The sequence below is a fragment of the Homo sapiens genome, chromosome 12 (genome assembly GCF_000001405.40).
Source record: "Homo sapiens chromosome 12, GRCh38.p14 Primary Assembly".
In the NCBI taxonomy this organism is placed as follows: domain Eukaryota; kingdom Metazoa; phylum Chordata; class Mammalia; order Primates; family Hominidae; genus Homo; species Homo sapiens.
The window spans coordinates 132,420,317-132,441,204 of record NC_000012.12 but is presented as its reverse complement, the minus strand read 5'-3'; the positions used below and the strand labels follow the sequence as shown (position 1 = coordinate 132,441,204).

The 20,888-nt window shown below is 58.9% G+C and overlaps 1 protein-coding gene across 8 annotated transcripts, besides 2 other annotated features; it reads left to right on the top strand.

Moving 5' to 3' along the window:
• The first annotated feature begins 3,188 nt into the window (after nucleotides 1-3,188).
• Nucleotides 3,189-16,698, top strand: LOC105370092 (uncharacterized). 8 transcript variants are annotated; one of them, XR_007063544.1, is made up of 5 exons: nucleotides 3,768-4,110; nucleotides 4,994-9,147; nucleotides 10,084-10,226; nucleotides 12,094-12,228; nucleotides 12,313-16,698. XR_007063544.1 is itself a non-coding variant. In XM_047429966.1 (4 exons), exon 4 carries the CDS (start codon nucleotides 6,837-6,839, stop codon nucleotides 7,899-7,901), a length of 1,065 nt encoding a protein of 354 aa, XP_047285922.1. In that variant the 5' UTR covers nucleotides 3,189-3,400; nucleotides 4,014-4,110; nucleotides 4,994-5,250; nucleotides 6,143-6,836; the 3' UTR covers nucleotides 7,902-16,698. The 8 variants fall into 8 exon arrangements, 5 of the variants coding, with proteins under 5 accessions (XP_047285922.1, XP_047285921.1, XP_047285920.1 ...); XM_047429966.1 differs by adding an exon at nucleotides 3,189-3,400 and having other exon boundaries at nucleotides 4,014-4,110; nucleotides 4,994-5,250; nucleotides 6,143-16,698; XM_047429965.1 differs by having other exon boundaries at nucleotides 3,768-3,892; nucleotides 4,014-4,110; nucleotides 4,994-5,250; nucleotides 6,143-16,698.
• Nucleotides 10,597-10,766: a silencer, noted in NCBI's record as "silent region_5116". NCBI's record gives its function as "represses an Ori minimal core promoter by ATAC-STARR-seq in GM12878 lymphoblastoid cells {active_cell/tissue: GM12878}" and the evidence as "EXISTENCE:reporter gene assay evidence [ECO:0000049][PMID:35858748]".
• Nucleotides 11,996-12,530: an enhancer, noted in NCBI's record as "H3K27ac-H3K4me1 hESC enhancer chr12:133005261-133005795 (GRCh37/hg19 assembly coordinates)". NCBI's record gives its function as "activates a minimal SCP1, AML or CMV promoter by ChIP-STARR-seq in naive H9 embryonic stem cells {active_cell/tissue: H9 hESC(naive)}" and the evidence as "EXISTENCE:reporter gene assay evidence [ECO:0000049][PMID:30033119]".
• Nucleotides 16,699-20,888: the final 4,190 nt, after the last annotated feature.

The following is a 20,888-nucleotide window of genomic DNA, read 5'->3' as shown; positions in this document are numbered from 1 at the left end:
AAGCCCTGCTTGTCATGCAGAGACCCGGGGCTGCGTTTCGGGAATCAGGGGAGAGAAGTCTAAACGGGGCTGTCTCCAGGGAGAACGATGGATGAGAAGGTGGGGCCGCTCTTGTTTGTAGCAGCCTTGTAAAACTGGCATTTTTGTTTTTGAGACAGAGTCTCGCTCTGTTGCCCAGGCTGGAGTGCAGTGGTGTAATCTCAGCTCATTGTAACCTCTGCCTCCTGGGTTCAAGTGATTCTCCTGCCTCAGCCTCCCGAGTAGCTGGGATTACAGGCACCTGCCACCACACCCGGCTAATTTTTGTATTTTTAGTAGAGACGGGGTTTCACTAAGGGAGGAGACCACTCCTCATATTGTCTTATGCCCGATTTCTGCCTCCAAAGAAAGAAAAAAAAAAAACTAAAAGGCAGAAATGAAATCCACAAGCAGACAGCCCGGCGCCGTGTCCTGGGCCTCGTAGTTAAAGATTGACCCCTGACCTAATCGGTTATGTTATCTATAGATTACAGACATTGTATGGAAAAGCACTGTGACAATCCCTGTCCTGTTCTGTTCTGTTCTAACTACCGGAGCATGCAGCCCCCAGTCACGTACCCACTGCTTGCTCAATCGATCACGACCCTCTCATGCACACCCCCTTAGAGTTGTGAGCCCTTAAAAGGGACAGGAATTGCTCACTCGGGGAGCTCAGCTCTTGAGACAGGAGTCTTGCTGACGCCCCCAGCCGAATAAACCCCTTCCTTCTTTAACTCAGTGTCTGAGGAGTTTTGTCTGCGGCTTGTCCTGCTACATCACTGTGTTGGCCAGACTGGTCTCGAACTCCTGACCTCAAGTGATCCCCCTGCCTCGGCCTCCCAAAGTGCTGGGATTACAGGCGTGAGCCACACGCCTGGCCGTAAAACTGGCTTTTTAAGCCACATGGATGTTTACTTTTGATAAAACTAGAGCCATTAAAAAATGCGGTGTGCGTCCCCCAGGCTGTGAGTCCCTCGCCATGACCGCCCCTGCGCGGTGGTTCCTGGCTTGAGATGTCAGGCGGTCCAGTTCGAGGTAGAGGAGGGTAAAGACGGCTTTCACCTTCCCCAAATCTGGAGATCCTGGCGAGCCTCAGGGCCTTGCGAGCCTCCACCATGGGGGAGGATGGGGATGGAGAACGAGGTTGGATCTCCCATGTCTGGAAGTGATAGGCCATAGTTTTATATTTTTTGCTCGTATATTATACTGTGAGCTCTCGCTTTCAGACGACAGAGTTCCAGCCACCTTCTCCATTTCCGGAGCAGCTCCGGGAGCTCCTCAGAGCAGGAATATTGTTACCTCCAGTTCAGACTCAGGAACCGCGGCGTCTCCTCCTAGGTCTGTGGATAGCGGAGATGGACCCAGCCTTGCGCCTGTTGCAGCCTGTGGAGCTCGAGCTCACTGTGGTTTCTCCCCCTTCTGGCTGAGATTGTGCTGCTGCACTGCAGCCTGGGTGACAGAGGGAGACCCTGTCACAAAAAGAGAAAAAAAAAAGGAAGGAAGGAACGCAGTTCCTGTGATCACGCCGTTTTCTGCTTTTAGAACGAGGGCCCTGCCCGTTGGTTTTGCACCAGGCCTCATGCGATCCACAGCCGGCCCCGGCGAGGCCACACGTGTGTGCTGATCTGTCGCTGCCTCTCACCGTCCCTGGACCAGAAACTGCCTGAGCAGGGCCCCTGGCTGTCAACTTCACTCTGGGTTCCCCAACACTGGGCCAGGCCCCACGTGGGGGCTCATGCTCAGCCTGTCGGTGGCAAAGACAAGCCGGCCGGCAGCGGGGCCGTGTTGGCGGCAGGGATGGTGGTAGGGCCGGGGGTGCTGTGGGGCTGGTCTGGGGCGGGCGGTGGTGTTGTGTCTGGCGGTGCTGCCACTGGGGCCAGTGATGGTGTGAGTACTGTGGACCATGGTGGTGTGGGGTGAGCAGGTGGCTTGGGGGTGACGGGCGGCAGTGGGTGTTGGTTTCTAGGATACGGAGCTGCATGAGGCCCTCTTGCCTGCAGCTTCATCACCTCCAGCCTCATGGCTGCCTTCAGTCAGCGTTGGAGACCCAGTGGTGTTCTCAGTCACCAAGGGCACCAGCAGGAAGCCATTGACATGAACATCGGCAGACAGATGTTCCCAGAGGCATGGGCAGGGCCGAGGGGCCCCGGAGGCCACCAGGCAGGACATCCTCGCCTCCCTCACGGGGCGGCGGCCCCGAGCCCTCAGGGGCTGTCGAGAGACGCAGTGGCTGCTGCACACGTGGCTCCCGCGCAGGGAGAGAGTGGGACACATGAGGCCTCGTCAGACCGCCCGCCCGCCTGCCCGCCGCCCCGAAGCCACCGGGGAGCTCTGGGGTGCAGCCCGCTCCTTGCACAGCACGGAGGCTCGGGTGGGCCGGACGCATAGCGGTACTGGTGTCACGTGCCCCATCACCCACCCTGGAGCCCTCCCAGCTCTACTCTAGGGCCTGTGGCTGTGCAGGAAACAGGGATACCTTTGGAAGTGATCCTGAGCCCCAACCCGAGGACTGGGTTCCTGCCCTCCGCTGGGGGGATGGGGTCATTTACTTGAAAGAGGGGCAAACAGAGGTGTCCTCGATGACCTCAACCTCAGTCTCCAGAAATCTCCTGACTCTTGCTAGTGCTTGGCCCCCAACCCTTCAGACCCCGGGAGCCCCACCGTCCGCAGGCCTGGGGTCTCGCAAACGCTGGCTGTGGCCATGGACCCTGCCGTGGTGGGAGGCAGTGTGAAGGTGACAAGCATTCATTGGTTCTAACTGTTTTCCCGACGACCCTCGAGCGGCCTCTTGCTTTGTTCCACATCTGCGGTGTCCCAGCTTCCTGCCAGCCCCCACGAAGCCACGCTGCAGCTCAGCAATTTAAACACGAAACACGGCAGATCAGTATCACGGGTGATCATAGCCCATCCTTGCAGAGCTCCAGAGAGAAGCTGGCGGTGGGAGCGTGCGGTGGGGCGTGGGGCCACATAGCCTCCTCCCCTGGCTGCACAACTTTCCGTGATGATCAACGCAGCCCTGGAGGAGGGACCTGGCCCTTGATTCCCAGGCTGCAGTTGGAGGTTGTTCAGGCACCAGCATGATCAACACAGCGCTGGAGGAGGGACCTGGCCCTTGATTCCCAGGCTGCAGTTGGAGGTTGTTCAGGCTCCAGCTCCGTCTCTGGGAATTCTGTTTCCTCCGCTTTCCTCCACGTGGCGTCTCTTCCAGCCTGAGCTTCAGAGAACCCCCATTGTGGTTGTGGATCTCCCAGACCCAGGCTGAGAGGGCAGGCAGGCAGGCAGCACCCGCTCAGCCTCAGCCCTGGCTCAGGGGCCACAGGGGCAGCGCAGTGCTCGCCTGCACCGGCCCAGGCACCCCTCCCAGATGTCCACCGAGCCTGAGGTGTGTGGCTGGGGGCTGCTCTCCGGCTCCTGCACCCACAAAGCCTGGCTCCTGATTGCATAAGCCTTGGGTCCCCGGCCCCAGGAACAACCCAACCCTGTGTTGGGCAGGCCTGGCCAGCCACTACCCGTCTGCCGTTCACCACTGAGCGCTTGCCCCCTTCCTCCTCCCTCCCTCTCTCCCTCCCTCCTCCCTGCCTTCCTTTTTCCTCTGTCCTCTCTCCCCTCCCTCCTCCCTCCCTTCCTTCCTCTCTCCCTCCTTCCTCCCTCCCCTCCCTTCCTTCGTCTCTCCCCTCCCTCCTCCCTCCCTTCCTTCTTCTCTCCCCTCCATCCTCTCTCCCCTCCTCTCCAGTGCTTCCCTCCCACCCCCCACATTCCTTTCTTCTGTTTATTCATTTGACAGATACCTACTGAGTTCCCGCTCTGTGTGAGGTCGGGGGTGGAGTCTGGGGAGAAGGAAATAAGCCAGGAACCTGCGTTTGCCGATGTGATGGTGTGAAGTGGTGACTGGCCTGAGGGCCCCTCCTTATGGGATTAGTGCCCCCAGAAAGAGCCTTATCGGGGGTCTGTCCCTCCCGCCATTGCCTCCTGAGGACCCGCATTTCTCCCTCCAGGGGACACTGCACGCCAGGCACCGTCTTGGGTAGAGAGCAGCCCTCACCAAATGCGGGTGCCTTGGCCTTGGACTTTCAGCCCCCAGCACTGTGAGAAGTAAGTTTCTGTGAGAATTACCCAGTCTCATTGTGTTCTTACCCCAAAGCCCTGGGGCTGAAGCCAGGTGCCTCTAAGCCGGCTCTGCTGCCCCCGAGCAGAGGGTGCAGGGGAGCCAGTGGGGGTTGGGGGGCGGGAGCAGAGCCCTTCGATTCAGGAGGGAGCCTGGCGGGCCGGAGGGACAGGTGGGCTCAGGCTCTCTCTCCCCTTCGGGCTCAGGGTCTCTCCTTCTCCTTCGGGGCAGGAGCAGAGCCCTTCGATTCAGGAGGGAGCCTGGCGGGCCGGGGGGACAGGTGGGCTCAGGGTCTCTCTCCCCTTCGGGCTCAGGGTCTCTCTCTCCTTCAGGCTCAGGGTCTCTCTCTCCTTCTCCTTCGGGCTCAGGCTCTCTCTCCCCTTCGGGCTCAGGGTCTCTCTCTCCTTCTCCTTCGGGCTCAGGGTCTCTCTCTCCTTCTCCTTCAGGCTCAGGGTCTCTCTCTCCTTCTCCTTCGGGCTCAGGGTGTCTGTCTCTTTTGGGCTCAGGGTCTTTCCCTCCTTCAGGCTGAGGGTCTCTCTCTCCTTCGGGCTCAGGGTCTCTCCTTCTCCTTCGGGCTCAGGGTCTCTCTCTCCTTTGGGCTCAGGGTCTCTCCTTCTCCTTCGGGGTCAGGGTCTCTCTCTCCTTCGGGCTCAGGGTCTCTGTCTCTTTCGGGCTCAGGGTCTTTCCCTCCTTCCGGCTGAGGGTCTCTCTCTCCTTCGGGCTCAGGTTCTTTCCCTCCTTCGGGCTCAGGGTCTCTCTCTCCTTCGGACTCAGGGTCTCTCTCTCCTTCGGGCTCAGGGTCTTTCCCTCCTTCGAGCTCAGGGTCTCTCTCTCCTTCAGGCTCAGGGTCTCTCCCTCCTTTGGGGTCAGGTTCTCTCTCCTTTGGGACCAAGGTGGAGTCTTGCTTCTCCGTGGGCATGTGAGGGTGAGTGAAACCACGACACTTCTCTGCATGGTGCTCGTCTGTGTTCTCCGGAGAGGCCGCTACTTGCCGGGGCCCTACAATCAGGACGATGATGACGGATGCCGGCTCCCACCAGCGAGGTCACGTGTCCAGGCCGTGATGTCGTGAAGGCTGGGAGATGCTGGCACCGCTCACCGGGGTGGTAAACTCTCTGCTGCAACAGGTGAGGGGCTGGGCTGAGCGCAGGAAGGGGACCCCGAGGATGGGGCTTGCCTTGGGCTGGCGCTGGGGGCTCGGGCTGTGTCTGCAGAGCCACAGCACGGGGTCAGTAAACGGGGCCCACTCTGAGCCGACCCTCCGCTCCTACCGCAGTGAAGCTGGGGGCCTGGCTGCCTTGACTGTAACGTGCTGGAATCCACACAGCCCCTTTAAGAGAGAAAAATGCTGACTTCCACCTGGCGGGCTCATAGGCCAGCCTCGCTCACTGCAGTCACCTGTGGGTGTTTCACACACTGGGGGTGCGGCCGCCTCGTGGAGCAAGTCTGTCGATGCCACTTTTCCAACAGCCAGTGCTCACGTCGCCACGGGTCATGATTTGGTAGCTCTTGCAGTTTCAAACATGTTCCTTTTCTTTTTTTTTTTTTTGAGACGGAGTTTCGGTCTTGGTGCCCAGGCTGGAGTGCGGTGGCGCGATCTCAGCTCACTGCAACCTCTGCCTCCCGGGTTCAAGTGATTCTCCTGCCTCAGCCTCCCAAGTAACTGGGATTACAGGCACCCACCACCCCGCCTGGCTAATTTTTGTGTTTCTAGTAGAGACAGGGTTTCACCGTGTTGGCCAGGCTGGTCTCGAACTCCTGAGCTCATGAGATCCGCCCACCTCGGCCTCCCAAAGTGCTGGGATTACAGGCGTGAGGCACTGCGCCCGGCCAGAACATTTCCATCTTTATTATATCTGTTCGGTGATCTGTGATCAGTGAGTTTTGATATTAGTATGATCATTGTTTTGGGGCACCACAAACTGTCCCCATATAAGACAGGAAGCTTAATCCATCCATGTTGTGTGTTCCGACTGCTCCACCGACCAGCAGCTTCCCCATCCCTCTCCCTCTCCTCAGGCCTGTCTAGTCCCTGAGACACAGAGCACTGAAGTCAGGCCACGTGATACCCTCCAGTGGCCTCGGATGTTCAAATGGTAGGAAGGGTTGCAGGTCTCTCCTTCAAATCAGAAGTTAGGAATGGCTAAGCCTGGTGAGAAGGGCATGCCAAAATCTGGACAGACGGAAAGCCAGGCCTCTTGTGCAAAAGAGTTAGCCAAGTTTTGAGTATAAAGGAAAAGTCCTTGAAGGAAAGTGTAAGTGCTACTCCAGTGGACACACGATTGGGAAGGAAGCGAAAAGGCTGTTGCCAATGTGGAAAACGTGGTGGCGGTCGGATAGAAGATCAAACCAGCCACGACGTCTCCTCAAGCCACAGCCGGATCCAGACCAAGGCTGTAACTCTCCTCAATTCTGTGGAGGCTGAGAGAGGTGAGGAAGCTCCAGAAGAAAAGCTGGCAGCTGGCAGAGGTGGCTTCCTGAGGTTTAGGGACAGAAGCCACCTCCATCACACAGAAGTGCAGGTGAGGCAGCACGTCCAGCTCCCCGATGGAAGATCCAGCTGAGATCACGGATGAAGGCGGCTACACTCACAGCAGATCTTCAGTGTAGATGAAACAGCAGCAACAGTGACAGCAGCAACAGGGCACAGGCCATCTCTAGAACTTTCTGGAACAGGACACGCAAACTGAGCCCCGTTGCCCCTGTTGTACCAATGAGGACGGAGGCTGCAGAGTGGGCGGGCGTGGCCTGGGTCAGAACCAGCCCCGTGGCTGCACCCGTGGGTGCACGAGCTTCGCAGCCAGCTGCCAGGGCGCTTTGGCTCAGCACGGCCCTGGTGACCCCAGGCATGGTGCCGATGTCACCCCAGGCATGGCGCCGACGTCACCTCAGGGTCAACTCATGCCTGACGGCCCCGGGATGTGGTGATGGGGTCTCAGCTGCGCACCTGTGGGCGCCACCTGCAGTTCCTTCTGCCGTCCCCGTCTTTCCCTGGGCTCTGGGCACCCTGGGAGAATGCCCGTTCCATCTCCAGGGACTGCTCTGGCCTCGGAGATACTGTCGCCCAGTGACTCTCAAGTCAGAAACCACAGGCCGACGCCCTGCTTGCTGGGCTGTGCCGCAGCCTTGGTCTGATTCCAGGTGTGTCCCTGCCCAGGGCTGTCTGCCTGCCACTGCCTCTGCCCAGGCCAGGACAACGGGGGCAGCTCAGGGGTCCCTCCAGCACCTGACCAGGGTGATGGGGAGACCCTCTGCAGGTGCAGGGGCCCATGAGCTCCCACCCCAGCCTGCCACACCCGCGGGGGAAGCACCTGCCCTGGTAAGCAGCGCCTGCCTGGGGCCCTGGGAGCAGACCCGGGGGGAGGGGCTGTGCCGAGGCCACGTGCAGATGCCAGGGCTTGCCATGGCAACCAAGGACAGGCATCCTCGGCTGGCCAGGCGAGGGCGTGTCCTTTCCAGCTCCCCGATCTTACATTCTTTCCCTGCACCCACCATATGCACACATGCACACAGACATCTACTCTGTACACCAAACATGCAGACACGCCAAGATAAGCATGAACATACAGGCACATGTAACCTTGGCAAACACACACACATGCCTACCAGGCACGCCGCAGACCCCGACACCATCACACACAGGCCCTCAAGTCACATGCGGTTATGTTTCCAGCCTCCTGTGCAGACAGGCATACGTGCACAGCCCCACCCGCCTCTGCGTGTCCACGAGCAGACGCGCACCTGTGCGGATCCAGACACGCGTGCACCTTGTGGATAAGCAGACGTGCGTCTCTCTGGACGTGCGTGCTCATGGGCACGTGCGTCTGCATTCAGATCTGTGTACACATCGCACCCTGAGTACCCACAGACACGCGTGAGCTCTCAGGTGTGCACACGCGAAGGCACGGCTCGCGGCTTCTGCGGAGGCCTTTCTGATGGATGGAACAGGTCCTCACTGTTCTGGACAGGAGTGGGAGGGCAAGAGGCCCAGCCTTACACAGTCAGTTAAACGCCGTCGGCAGGGCTCCCCACGGCAGGGGCGGGGGTGGAGGGAAGATGCGGAGGTGGTGCACTGGAAGAAAGGCTCCAAACAGCTGCAGCCCAGTCCCTCTCGGGGCCCCACTTGGCAGCGTCTCCTGCAGGGCCTCTGAGCTGCTGGTTTTGGAAATGCAGCCAATGCTGAGGTCCCTCAGCAGCCCAGCAGCAGGCCAGGAGGGCTACGGAGCTGCCAGGGGCTTCCAGGACAGCTCTGGGAGGGCCAGGGAGCTGCTAGGGGCCTCCAGCAGCAGGCAGGGAGGGCTGCGGAGCCGCCGGGGGCCTCCAGGACAGCTGTGCCCTGTGGTTGGCCTTCTGTCTTTGGGCCTCTGTGCTGGGCATCTTGGAGAAACCAGCTGTGGCTGTGTGTGCTCAGGGCTGGTCAGGGGCCCCACGTCCCACCCCCTCTGGTGCCCCTAATTTTAGGAAAACCCATGAGAAACTACCATCTCTACTGAGCACAGAACGTGCTTTCTAGAAGATTCCAACCCAGGAGTCTCGTTAGGAGGTAGCGGGCCTGCAGCAGGAGGATTTTCTTTCGGTGTAATTTAAAAATTAACTTTTCCATCCCTCTGAGAATCTAGAGTAGCAAGTTCTTGAGGGAACGGGACAGGCAGCGGCCAATGCTCACAGGCCTCTGCTGCACGCTAGTGACGAAACGCAGCGGAACGCGTGCTCCCAGCCTGGGGCCAGGAGTCTGGAGTCAGGCATCGTGGGGCCGAGGCTCCAGGGGAGGATCCTGCCACCCGGTCTGGCCTCTGCTGGCACCCAGGTGCTGGCTGTGGCTGCAGCGCTGCAGTCTCTGCCTCCTTCCCTTGCGTCTCCTCCTTGTCTCTGTTTTCTCTTCTTATAAGGATGCCTGTGTTTGGATTTAGGGTCTACCCTCATCAGCTGGGCCTCATCTTAACCAACTCCACCTGCAAAGGCCCTGTTTCCAGATGAGGCCGCAGCCTGAGGTTCTGGGTGGACACCATTCTACCCAGTACCACGTATGTACATACTCACGGAACCCTCCAACGCTCCTAAGAGAGGGGCCCCTGATGGTCCCCAGTTTACAGGCGTGAAAGTTCCAGGAGGAGGCTGAGCTGCACAGGGTCACTGGGTGCTGGGCACTTGCCCCCGTCGCCAGCTGCTGCCCAGAAACCACCCCCACACTTTGTGACCTGCAGCAACACCAGGGATGATTTTTATCCTGAATCCACAGCTCGGGCAGGTTTGCTGCGGACGGCTTGTTTCTGCTACACTTGGCAGGAGCTGGGGCTGCCCACACGCTGGGGGCCGAGTTCGCCCAACGCTCAGGCACCTGGTGGGTCGTGGTGGCTGTCGGCTGAGCCCTGGCCAGGCTGTGACCAGACACCTGCAGGGGCTCCTCTGTGTGGTCTGGGCTCCCACACAGCCTGGCAGCTGGTTCCATGAGTAAGAGCCCAGAGCCCCCAGCCCAGAGCCCAGAGCCCGGAGCAGGCCAAGTGGGCCGGCTGCAGCCTTCTGCCCTGTGCTCCTCCCCAGCCCGCCATGAAGGCCGTGCATTCAGGCAGCGGGGAGCGGGGCTCCTCTCCACGGGGGGGTTGAGGGGGAAGGCAAAGGTCTGGAAGAACACGCAGGACTGAAAATATTGTTTCGGCCATGTGTGCATTTTTGGCACAATCTACCATATTAGTAGACGCCAGTTCCAAACCTGGAAACTTGAGCCTCTGGACCTAGGTCTCTGGATCCTCAGCACGGACCAAGCCGCATCTGGGGAGCGCCTGCCGGGGAGCCAAGCCCGCAGGAGGGGCAGGTGCTGGCGGGGGCCGTCACTGCAGTCCTCATATGGTTAGGCCGGGGAATGATATTTCCTCTCCACCTCTCTCGGTGGACCCTAAATCCAAGAGAGAAGACATCTTTCTCACGGCAGCCCCATCTCAGGCAGATCCTGTCGTTTGCAGCCTCTGACCTGTGGGAGGAGCCCAGGCCTGCCGGGAGGCGGGTGCACACTCACAGAACGTGCAGCGCAGGTGTGCACTCTAGAGCCCACCTCAGTGCTGAGGTCGACGTCACCCCCGGGCTCTTGGGCCGTGGCCAACGGCAGGTATGTTGCAAATCTGAACAGCATGGTGTTTCTAAATGTGGGACCTTTGCCCCCAAATCCAGACTTCCGGCTTTTCTTTTTTCTATTTTTTTTTTTTTTTGAGACGGAGTGTCGCTCTGTCGCCCAGGCTGGAGTGCAGTGGCGCGATCTCAGCTCACTGTAAGCTCCACCTCCCAGGTTCACGCCATTCTCCTGCCTCAACCTCCTGAGTAGCTGGGACTACAGGCGCCCGCCACTACGCCCGGCTAATTATTTGTATTTTTAGTAGAGACGGGGGTTTCACCGTGTTAGCCAGGATGGTCTCGATCTCCTGACCTCGTGATCCGCCCACCTCGGCCTCCCAAAGTGCTGGGATTACAGGCGTGAGCCGCTGCGCCCGGCCCCAGCTTTTCTTTAAAAGAACAGAAGGTGGAGCAAGGCTGAGTCCACACCCTGCGAGTCAGGAAGTAGCTGCAGCTGTCTGCGGGCCGCCGCCTCGCCCCGCGGGCTCCTGCCTGCTGTGCCACGCCCCTCACTGCTCCCCACCGCGTTGCAGCTGGCGCTCCACCTGCCGCTCACCAGACCAGGGCTGGCAGCCCCTTCCCAGACCTGCCTCTCTGTGATCTCATGTGACCATGGCAGCTGCAGCTGTCTGTGGGCTGCACACCCGGGCACGGTGGCAAGCTCCCGGGATGGGGGATGATGAGCAACCCTCAGATGGCCCCACAGTGTGCCAGGTATCGCCCTTACACACCTGTAAGGGCGTCACCTCATTTCATTCTCATGACAGCTCTCTGGGGGGGGGCATCATCACTATCACCTTACAGATAAGGAAGCTCAGGCACCAAGAGGTTAGATAACTTGCTCCAGGTCACATAGGGACGATGAGCGTTGCAGGTGTGTGCAGGTGTGCATAGGTGTGTTCCAGTGTGTGCAGGTATGCCCATGTGTGTGCAGGTGTGCTCCAGTGTGTGCAGGTGTGCTCAGGTGTGCGCAGAGGTTCCCAGGTGTGTGCAGGTGTGCCCAGGTGTGTGCCGATGTGCCTAGGTGTCTGCAGGTGTGCTCAGGTGTGTTGAGTGCCAGGCACGAGGAGCCGAGGCCCTTCCACATGTCTTACCCCAGGCTCCAGCGGCCCAGTTCCAGGGTGGGAGGTCTGCCAAGGCCTCATGGCCGCCTGCTCAGGATGGGGGAGGGCACCTTCCCCTTCTTGGCCATCTGCCCAGTCCTCTCGGGGTTGGGGGCTGTGCTGGAGGGGGCGGGCAAGGACGTGCCTACGCTGTCATCTGGTGGCTGCCTCCCAGGAACTAGGGAATTCCAGGTTCCTGTCCAGAGTCCACCCGCAGGCTCCTGACACCAGTGGCTCCCCCAGGCCCAGAGGACGCAGGCTGCTGAGGGGCTGCAGCCCATCAGGGTCCCTGCCTGAGCCCCGCTGTCAGGCAGGCATCCCACAGGAGCACCCTGGGCTCTGCTGCCTTCCCGCGGTTTCCTGTTGTGGGCAGGGCCACAGGGGCTGTTGGGGAAATTCAAGGCCTGGGACCTGGGAACTTCCAGCCTGGGGAGGGAGACGGGCGAGGGCCAGGAGCGGGTTTCAGGAAGTGACCAGTGCCCTGGGAGAGGGAGAGTGGCCGCAGGTGGCTGCTTCCCACAGGCCCCATGGAAAGGACATCTGAGCTGAGGCCTGAGGATGGGAGAACCCTCATGTGTGAAAATGGGGAAGTGGGCGGGAGGTGGGGAGGTGGGCAAGTCGGCAAGTCACAGGGCGTGGGGTAGGAGCTTGAGCGTCACCGTCGGGAAGAGGCCGTGTGGTCAGGGAGGGAGGAGGGTGGCTGCCGTTGGCAGCTGTCAGATGGGACTCGCAGGCAGGTTTCGGACAGGTTTCCTTTCCCAGGCCATCTGCGAGAACAGAGACGAGGGCTTGGATCAGTTTCTGTCTGAGTTGGCGCCTTCCCAGGCTGGCTGTTGGCTCTGCTCCCTTCTGGGACCTGTTGGGATGAGCAGATCAGGGAGTATTTTGAGCCGAAAGGTACGTGGGGAAACTGGGACTGACAGCGAATTCCCTGTCTGCGTTTGCCCACATGAGTTTTTCTTTGTGCTCTTGTGCTCTCAGGAATTCAGCCTCTGAATCCCTCCTGGGCCTGGGGTGGAGCAGGGTGAACACATACGGAAGCGTAAACACAGCGGGCCGACTTCAGCCTGCAGCTCAGCCCTGCGGTCTCCTGGGCAACGCGCTGCGTGGGGACATTGTCTCTCACCTGAAAAGCTGCTTACGGGCCCCCACCTCGTCGTGGGTTTAAAGCGGATTAATGGGAGGGTTGGTGGTTCTGGGGCTGGCAGGGCTTCCCAGCAGGGGCAGCCCCTTCATGTGGTGGCGAGCTTGGTAGTGACAACAGGCAGGCCGCTGTGCCCCGGGTGGGTGGCTGGAGCTGGGCGTGGGGTGTCTCCCCGTGAGGACTGTCTGCCCTGCCCGCTGCTCACAAGCCTTCTGCGTTTCCCACCACGCTCTCCTCACCTTCTACTGGGAGGAAGGTCCCAGGGCACGGGAGGGACCCTGTCTAGAGTGGAGCTGGGCTGCCCCATCTCAGGTCATGGGTCACGGCTGCCCCATCTCAGGTGACGGCAGCCCCCTTCAGGTGAAGGCCAAGGCGCGGCTCTTCTCCTCCCAGCCTGAAGCAGATCCTGTTGTCTGCAAGTACCCAGCATCCGATGGCTTCTCACGGCCTCCACCCCGGCCACCTGGTCCGAGACACTGCTGTCTCCGGCCTGGACTGGTGCAGTAGCCAGCAGCTGCTGCTCTCGCCCTCTATGGGGCAGCCTCACACGGCCCGTGGTGCCCCTGCTGGTGCTCAGTCCTTGTGCGCTCCCTCCCTTGAGCATGTGCGGGACCTGTGGTTTATCTCAAATGAATAGAAAATGGCAAAAGCAATGGGGTGTCACTTCCAAATCTGGTCGCGGAAAGACCCTGGTCTATCTTGCTCATCCCTCTCACCCTCTCCCACGGTCTGGTGAAACCAGTGGCTGTGCCGAGAGCTGCCATGGGGCAAGAGACTGAGGGCGGCTTCCAGCTAAACGCCAGTGAGGAGCTGAGGCCCTGAAGAACTGAATCCCGCCCAGAACTACATGCCTGAGCTCGGAGCCATTTCTTCCCCATGGGAGATGAGACCCCTGCCCAGCTGAGTCCGGATTGCAGCCTGTGAGACCCTGAGCCTGCGGATCCAGCCAAGCCATACCTGATCCTTGATCTAAGGAAAATGGGAGCTGATAAGTGTGTGCTGTTTTCAGCTGCCAAGTGTGGGACCCTTTGTGATGCTGGAGTCAGTAGATGCCGCAGGCTCACCCCGCCCTCTCCTCCCAGCCAGCATGATTATGTCAAGACCAGATCAGCTCACAGCACTTCCCTGCTCATGGCTCCTAGTGTCTCAACAGCCCCAGGCCCTGCCCCATTTGTCACCTCCCAGCCACCCACCCCAGGCCCTGCACTGTTCGTCACCCCCTGGCCACTGCCTGCTCCCCAGGCCTGCCCTGTTCATCACCCCCCCAACAGGCCTTGAACCATTCATCACCCCCCGGCCACCAGCCCCAGGCCCCGCCCCGTTCGTCACCCCCCCCCGCCACCCACCCCAGGCCCCGCCCCGTTCATCACCCCCCCACCGGCCACCCGCCCCAGGCCCTGCTCCGTTCGTCACCCCCCGGCCACCCGCCCCAGGCCCCGCCCCGTTCGTCACCCCCTGGCCACCGCCTGCTCTTTCCTTGCTTCCTGGCCTTGAGCCACATGGGGCAGTTTCCTGAACATTCCCACTGTGTTTGCACAGGAGGTTCCCTCTGCCTGAGATGCTGCTCCCTCACGCCTTCCAACATCAGCTTCTCAGTGAGCCCCTCCCTGATCTCTCTGCTTAGCCTCAGATTCCTCCCGTGTCCCTGCCGCTCCTGCTTATTTGTCTCTGCAGGATTCATCAGCATCGGGCCCTTCCAGCTGTCAACCTACCCCCGCTGCCACTGGGACGCACACTCCACAAAAGCAGGGTTCTCCTGTGTCTTCTCTCTCCCCTGCAGCACCCCCAGGGCCTAGAGCAGTGTCTGACACACGGTGGAGTCTCAGCAAACATTTGTTCAAGGAGTAAACCGCAGGAGTGGAGGGCAAATCCAAGCGTGAGCCTGAGCCTGCGTTGCTGCGGGAATGTGAGCAGGTGCCCCGGTCCACCCCGGCAGAGGCCTCCCCCGCCCAGCGCGTTTCGCCACATCTCCTCTGGCCAACTGAGTCCTCGCAGAAAGGTGTGTCAAACAGATCATTCCTCCACCTGCATCCCTGAGTGAGGACAAACAGCAGGTCCCCTGAGGACGTGTGAGAGCAGTTGCCTGAGTGAGAGATACGCCTTCGCCATTGAAGGCACTGAGTCTGGGGACTGTTTGTTAGAGCAGCAGAACCAAGCAATCCTGACAGCGCAGAAACCAGCTCCAAGAAATGAGGTGCTGCCGCAGCCACAGGGCACCTGGAGCACGTGTCCTGCTCACGTGGAGGACAGAGAGAAGGCGGGGCAGAGGCCGGAGCACACTCGGTGTGGAACACTCGGTCAGACTGGACTCGGCAACTTGGAAGTTGGACCATGAACCTGACGAAACCGCAGCTCTAGGGAAAGGCTGGAAAATCGCACGTCGGCAGACATGCCAGTGAGATCTTTTGAGGAGCCAGACCCAGACAGGAATTGTCCATCCTGCCAGCAGGCGTGAAAGTGAACAAGGAGATTTCAAAATATGACACTCCCAGAAAGCTGGAAGAGCCGGCTGACTGTAGACTCCAAGTGATCAAGAAAGTGCACTGACAAAAGTCTCAAGCAGGGCACGGCGTCACAGCCTTGTTCATCTCCCGTGCATCGAGGCGTCTCATGGTGAAGGTGCCATGTGGGCATGGTGATTTTCACTTGGACAAAACGGCGCAGGGGAAAGTGACCAGGTAGGGAGAGGAGGATGACGTCCCTGAAACTCAGCTGAGCCATCGGCATGGGCGGAAGGCTTTGTGGCCCTGGGAAGGTCGATGGCGGAGGAGCTGCAGGGGTGGCTGCTGCATGTGGAGCTGGCTGAAGCCAGAGATGAGAAAGCTCCTGGGGTCTCGAGAGAGTCGCGATGACAGGATGGCACCCACTCAGTCTACAAGAGAAACGTGTGCGTTAATGCAAACCACCACTAACTCCTGCGACCAGGAGGTGGGCGGCGAAGACTCACCGGCCCCAAGGAAGGCGTGTCCTGGGTACCCACCTCGTACTGGCCGAGAAGGGTCATGGAGGAATCAGAAACCTCTCGGAGGGCAGAGCCAGGGGCCTCGGAGGATGGCAGAAAGGGAGGTGACCTTCAGGTAGGAACTGAATCTGGACTGAGTGAGGGAGCGTGGACCAGCACCAGGGTGGGTGCTCAGGGGCCTTCCCGGGGGTTTCAGGTCCTCTGTGGACCAGCGACTGCCGCCATCTCCCTTCTCTCTCTCCCTGCTGCTGGGGCCATCATGTCCATTCCCTGCCACCCACTGTGCACCGAGCATGAGGGAGGCAATGACCAATCTCTTCAGTCTGTGAGTCTCCGGTGAAGAGGTGTCTGGGGTCACCCAGACCCGATATGGCTGTGATTTGGGGTCGTCTCACCTGGGGAGCCATGACGGGGAGTGAACACAGTCGATTAGTCCAGAAGGCAGACGTGGAAGTCAGTGGCGCCGCCCACTAATATTTTGGCCTCCTTTTCCAGACGCATTTAGGATTATGCTTTCCCTCTCTCTCCAAGTTAGGCCCGGCCATGTGACCTGCTTTGGCCAATGAAATTCTAGCCTTTAAACACGAGTTCATGATGCTTCCTGCTTTGGGGATTGTGGATGTGTGTTGACACCTGGGTCCCTGTCCCCCAGTGATGACAAAGAGCAAAGGCACCTGCTGGCCCACGCTGGACACACATGTGAGAAAGACATGCATCTGTGAAGTGCTCAGCTGCTGTGGTGTGGGGCTGTTTGTTACACAGCCCAGCCAAGCCCAGCCTGACTGATACACTCCCTCAAGCATGAATAGGGCTCTGCCTCTCCAATGAGGGGAGTGGGGCCCAGGGCTGTTTCTCAGCGATGTCCAGAACACCTTACTCCTAGGTCCCCCAGAAGCAATGACAAGAAACACCACAGGAGGCATCTGTGGAGGAGCTGGTCGTGGCAGGGTGGGCACAGCTCTGCCCTGCTGTGGAAGGAGTTGACGATCCCCCAGGGCCCTGTCCCCGAGGGAGGGCCTGGTCTCCTGAGCAGTGTCCTGGATCGGGGCTGGCGTGTGAGTAAAAGTGGGTCCAGCCCTCCCCACCCCAAGCTGGGAGAGGTGAGACCCCCACAGCCCACTAGGCGCCAGTGACTGATGGGCCCGCCACTGTCTTCACAGCCCCCAGAGTTCTCTGGTAATCACAGGCGTGGAACATGTGCCAGGAACCTTTGGTTTGCGTGTACCTTTAGATGCTCGGATTAAATTACACCCATAATGCATTATGTCATTGATAATAATATCACTGTGTATAAGACACGGCGTGGAAGGAGCCTGCTCCTGGACGGTTCATCCGTCTCTTCACACACAATTTCCATACGTGACTAAAGATCACCATTTTAACAGCCTTTGGTGCAGACACTGAGAGGCAGTTGCAGAGTTAACAGCGCATAAATCTCATTTCCTCTGCACTCCATTTTTCTCAGGCTGCAGAATCAATTTGAGTCTGTCAGGATTTTATTCCAAAGTCTATTAACGGCCCCCGCTTCCTTCTACTCCCCCGCCCACCGCCTTCCCCTTTCGTGAACTCAGTCCTGCAGAAAAAGACGCCTTGCTGATACAAAGTAACAGCCTTTTATCTCTTTACAACAAAATCTAACTAGGCGTGAAGGAGACGCAGCTGGGACAATTAGGCGAGGGTGGAGGTCACTGGCCTGGGGATCCCGCAGCCCAGGCCCTTGTGGGTCTGCAGCTGGGTCCTGGATGCGTAGCTCCCGCCCTGGGAAGGGAAACTGCTGGGCCTTTTCCGCGTGCCCCGCGGGCAGGAGGTGCTTTCTGGAGGGCAGCCCATGTTCTCTCTGTGGATCCAGTTGCCTCGCCCAGGGGAGGTCTCTGCTGTGACAGTAACTTAGAGGTGCAGCCGCCCTTCTGAGTCACGCACACATCAGGGTGAACCCCACAGCACCCGCTTGCTGGCCCCACTTCACAGGCGGGGAACCAGGCACAGAGAGGTTGAGTGATCTGCCCGAGGCCACACAGCACAGTGGCAGAGCTGGGGCCCGGTAATTCACTCTTCCTGTCGCCCTTTGTGAAAGTCCCGCCCTGTCCTGGGCACCGCACAATCCTTCCGGTCCCACGGGAGGCCCAGCCCCTGCTCCGCCTGCAGCCGCCACACCCCCTGCCCCTCTCCCTCCGCGGACCCCGTCCGCCCCGCCCTCCCGGGGCCGCTGCTCCCTGCCCTGGTCCGCCTTCTTCAGGGGAGGGGCGTGGCCACCCAGGCCCTGCCCAGTGTAACACCCAGCGCTGCTGATTGGCTCCCGTCTCGGCTCTGGGTCGCCTGGACACCGTGATTGGCTCAGTGATGAGCACGTGATCCAAGCTAGCCCAATGAAAGCCAGGCCTGGGATTTTGGCGGGGTTCGCAGGAGCAGGAGGGGAGAGTCTGCACCTGCAGGTGGTGCAGAGGCCCCTGGGGTCCCAGAGGGAGTGGAGCAGCCTGAGGCCGACAGGGCTGGGTCGGCAGGAGGGAGAGAGAGATGGAGATGGAGATAGACAGAGAGAGACAGGGACAGAGAAACAGAAGAGAGAGACAGAGAGACAGAGGGAGAGAGACACAGAGAGACAGAAGCAGATGGAGAGAGAGAGAGAGAGAGGCGGAGACGAAGATAGAGATAGAGAAACAGAGAGACGGGGACAGAGAAACAGGAGAGAGACAGAGATAGAGAGACAGGGAGAGACACACACAGAGAGACAGAAACAGATGGAGAGAGGCAGAGAGAGAGAGGCAGAGACAGAGATAGAGATTAAGAGACAGAGAGATACACAGAAAGACAGGGACAGAGAAACAAAGACAGAGTTAGACAGAGGGAGAGAGACACAGAGAGACAGAAGCAGATGGAGAGAGGCAAAGAGAGGCTGAGACAGAGATAGAGATAAAGAGAGAAAGACACAGGGACAGAGAAACAGAGAAGAGAGAGAGAGACGGAGAGAGAGAGAAGCAGATGGAGAGAGGCAAAGAGAGAGAGACAGAGACAGAGATAGAGATAAAGAGACAGGGACAGAGAAACAGAAGAGAAAGAGAGGCAGAAACAGATGGAAAGGGGCAGAGAGAGAGAGAGGCGGAGATGACTGTGCTCTGATGATGTTATCTGAGCCCTCTGTGAAATCTGAGGCGCCCAGATGCCTGTGTTTAAAAGTCCTTCATCCCCTTGTTTTCTGTGAGTTGGTTTCCATAACTTGCATCAGAAAGACCCTGACACACATTGGTGTGGGGTGGAACAGTTGCCAGTGGCAGCTCCTAGAGTGTGGACTGGCAGGTCAGGCCCCGGCAAGGATACCCGTCTGCAGGGGGAGCTGCCGCCCCTGGTCATGGAGTGGGAGGGTCTGGACCCTGGGCCAGCCAGGCTGAGCCGTCCAGCATCCTGCTGCTGCTCGCATTTCCCCAGGTGTTTCCAGGACCTCCTGCTCTTCCAGAACTGACTGTTGCCCATTGAGAGGTGGAGTCTGTTCCCCTCCCTGGAGCCTGACTGTGTGACTGTCTCAGTGGAGATGCCATGGGGCTTCCCAGGCCATGATCCGAAGGAGGAATGATGTCAGCCAGCCTCTGAGGTCTGTGCTTGTTCCTGAGCCTGTCGCAGTGGCCGGGTGTCCTAATTCCACGCCGACCCGTCCAGTCCTTCCCCTGGAATCGGTGTCTTCCCTCGACTTCCAGGCACCCCCCATCCCCTCCTTCTCACTGTCCTCCTGCTATGGGGCTGGTTGCTGTTGGTTCTCTCTCCTCCCTCCGCCTCCTGAGGGGGTGCCTTGGGACGCAGTGCCCACAGCCTCTCCTCTGCCTGATGCACACTCACCCCTGGCTTCTCATCCGGTCACAGGACCTGGTACCCACAGCCTCTCCTCTGTCTCTCCTCTGTGGATACCCCATCCACACTCATCCCCTGACATCTCATCCAGTCTCATGGCCTCCATGCCTATCCTCTCACTGCCCCGTCCACACTCACCCCCGGCATCTCACCCGGCCTCGTGGCTTCCATGCCTGTTCCTGCCTATTCTCTCACTGGCCTGGATGCCTCCTGTGGTTTGAGCCTCTCACACCCACCTGCCCGCTCCATGCCCTTCTGCGATGTCCAGTGGGCATCTCACATCCACAGGAGTTTCCTGTCTGGGGGGTCTCCTGGGGATTTTTGGGGATTCCCAGCCCCATTTCTAGCGTCCTCTCATCTGTTTCCTCTGATGTGGGTTAATGCATCTGCGGGACCTGTCTTAATGAATCGATGACGTTATCCCAAATTACCCATCTCAGCTGGGTGCAGGGGCTCACGCCTGTAATCCCAGCACTTTGGGAGGCCGAGGCGGGTGGATCACCTGAGGTCAGGAGTTCAAGACCAGCCTGGCCGACATGGTGAAACCCCGTCTCTACTAAAATTACAAAAAATTAGCTGGGCGTGGTGCCGGGTGCCTGTAATCCCAGAAACTCGGGAGGCTGAGGCAGGAGAATCGCTTGAACCCAGGAGGTGGAGGTTGCAGTGAGCCAAGATCGTGCCATTGCACTCCAGCTTGGGCGACAAGAGCGAAACTCTGTCTCTCTCTATATATATAAACTAAATTAGCAATCTCCCTTTGCATGGCAATGTTGACTCTGCTAATGGGATTTAAATAGTAAGTTGGACATTTTCTCCTTCAATATTTTGCACCATTGATTTGCTTCAAAGTCTTTTCTCACAGTCATCACAAAGGCAAACACCAACATTGGCCAGGCCCCGAAATCATAAAGCCCAATTGACGAGATGTTGGTCCACTCTGAACTCACCACTGGCCAGGACACAGCCAAGCATCGGAAGGAAGTAGCTATGTGCCTGACCGGTCACCTGACGCAGCCTCTTCTGCAGCCTGAACTTGACCCAGCTGTGTGAGGCAGAGTGTGGCAACATTTGAGATGCTGGATCAACTCTTACCTGACGCACTGGAACATTTTGATTATGGGGCAAGACCAGCCTGGGCAACACAGTGAGATCCCATCTCCAAACAACAACAACAACAAAACAATTGATTCCTTTTTTAAAATAACATTTTAGACCCAGCACGGTGGCTCATGCCTGTAATCCCAGCACTTTGGGAGGCTGAGGTGGGTGGATCACTTGAGGTCAAGAGTTTGAGACCAACCTGGCCAACGTGGCGAAACCCCGTCTCTACTAAAAATACAAATTAGCCGGGCGTGGTGGTGGCCACCTGTAATCCCAGCTACTCGGGAGGCTGAGGCAGGAGGATTGCTTCAACCTGGGAGACAGAGGTTGCAGTGAGCTGAGATCACGCCACTGCACTCCAGCCTGGGCAACAGAGTGAGACTCCGTCTCAAAAAAAAAAAAATTTGTTGAGTTGAATGTGGCTTCCAATTATGAGGGTGTTTCTAGGTTTTGCAACCAAACAAATAATCCCTGATAGAGACCATTGAATAGTCTTTCAAGAGCATGTAT

What these genes read in the sequence shown, in the direction of transcription:
- LOC105370092 (XM_047429966.1), top strand. Translation starts at nt 6,837, where the DNA reads ATGAGGACGGAGGCTGCAGAGTGGGCGGGCGTGGCCTGGGTCAGAACC.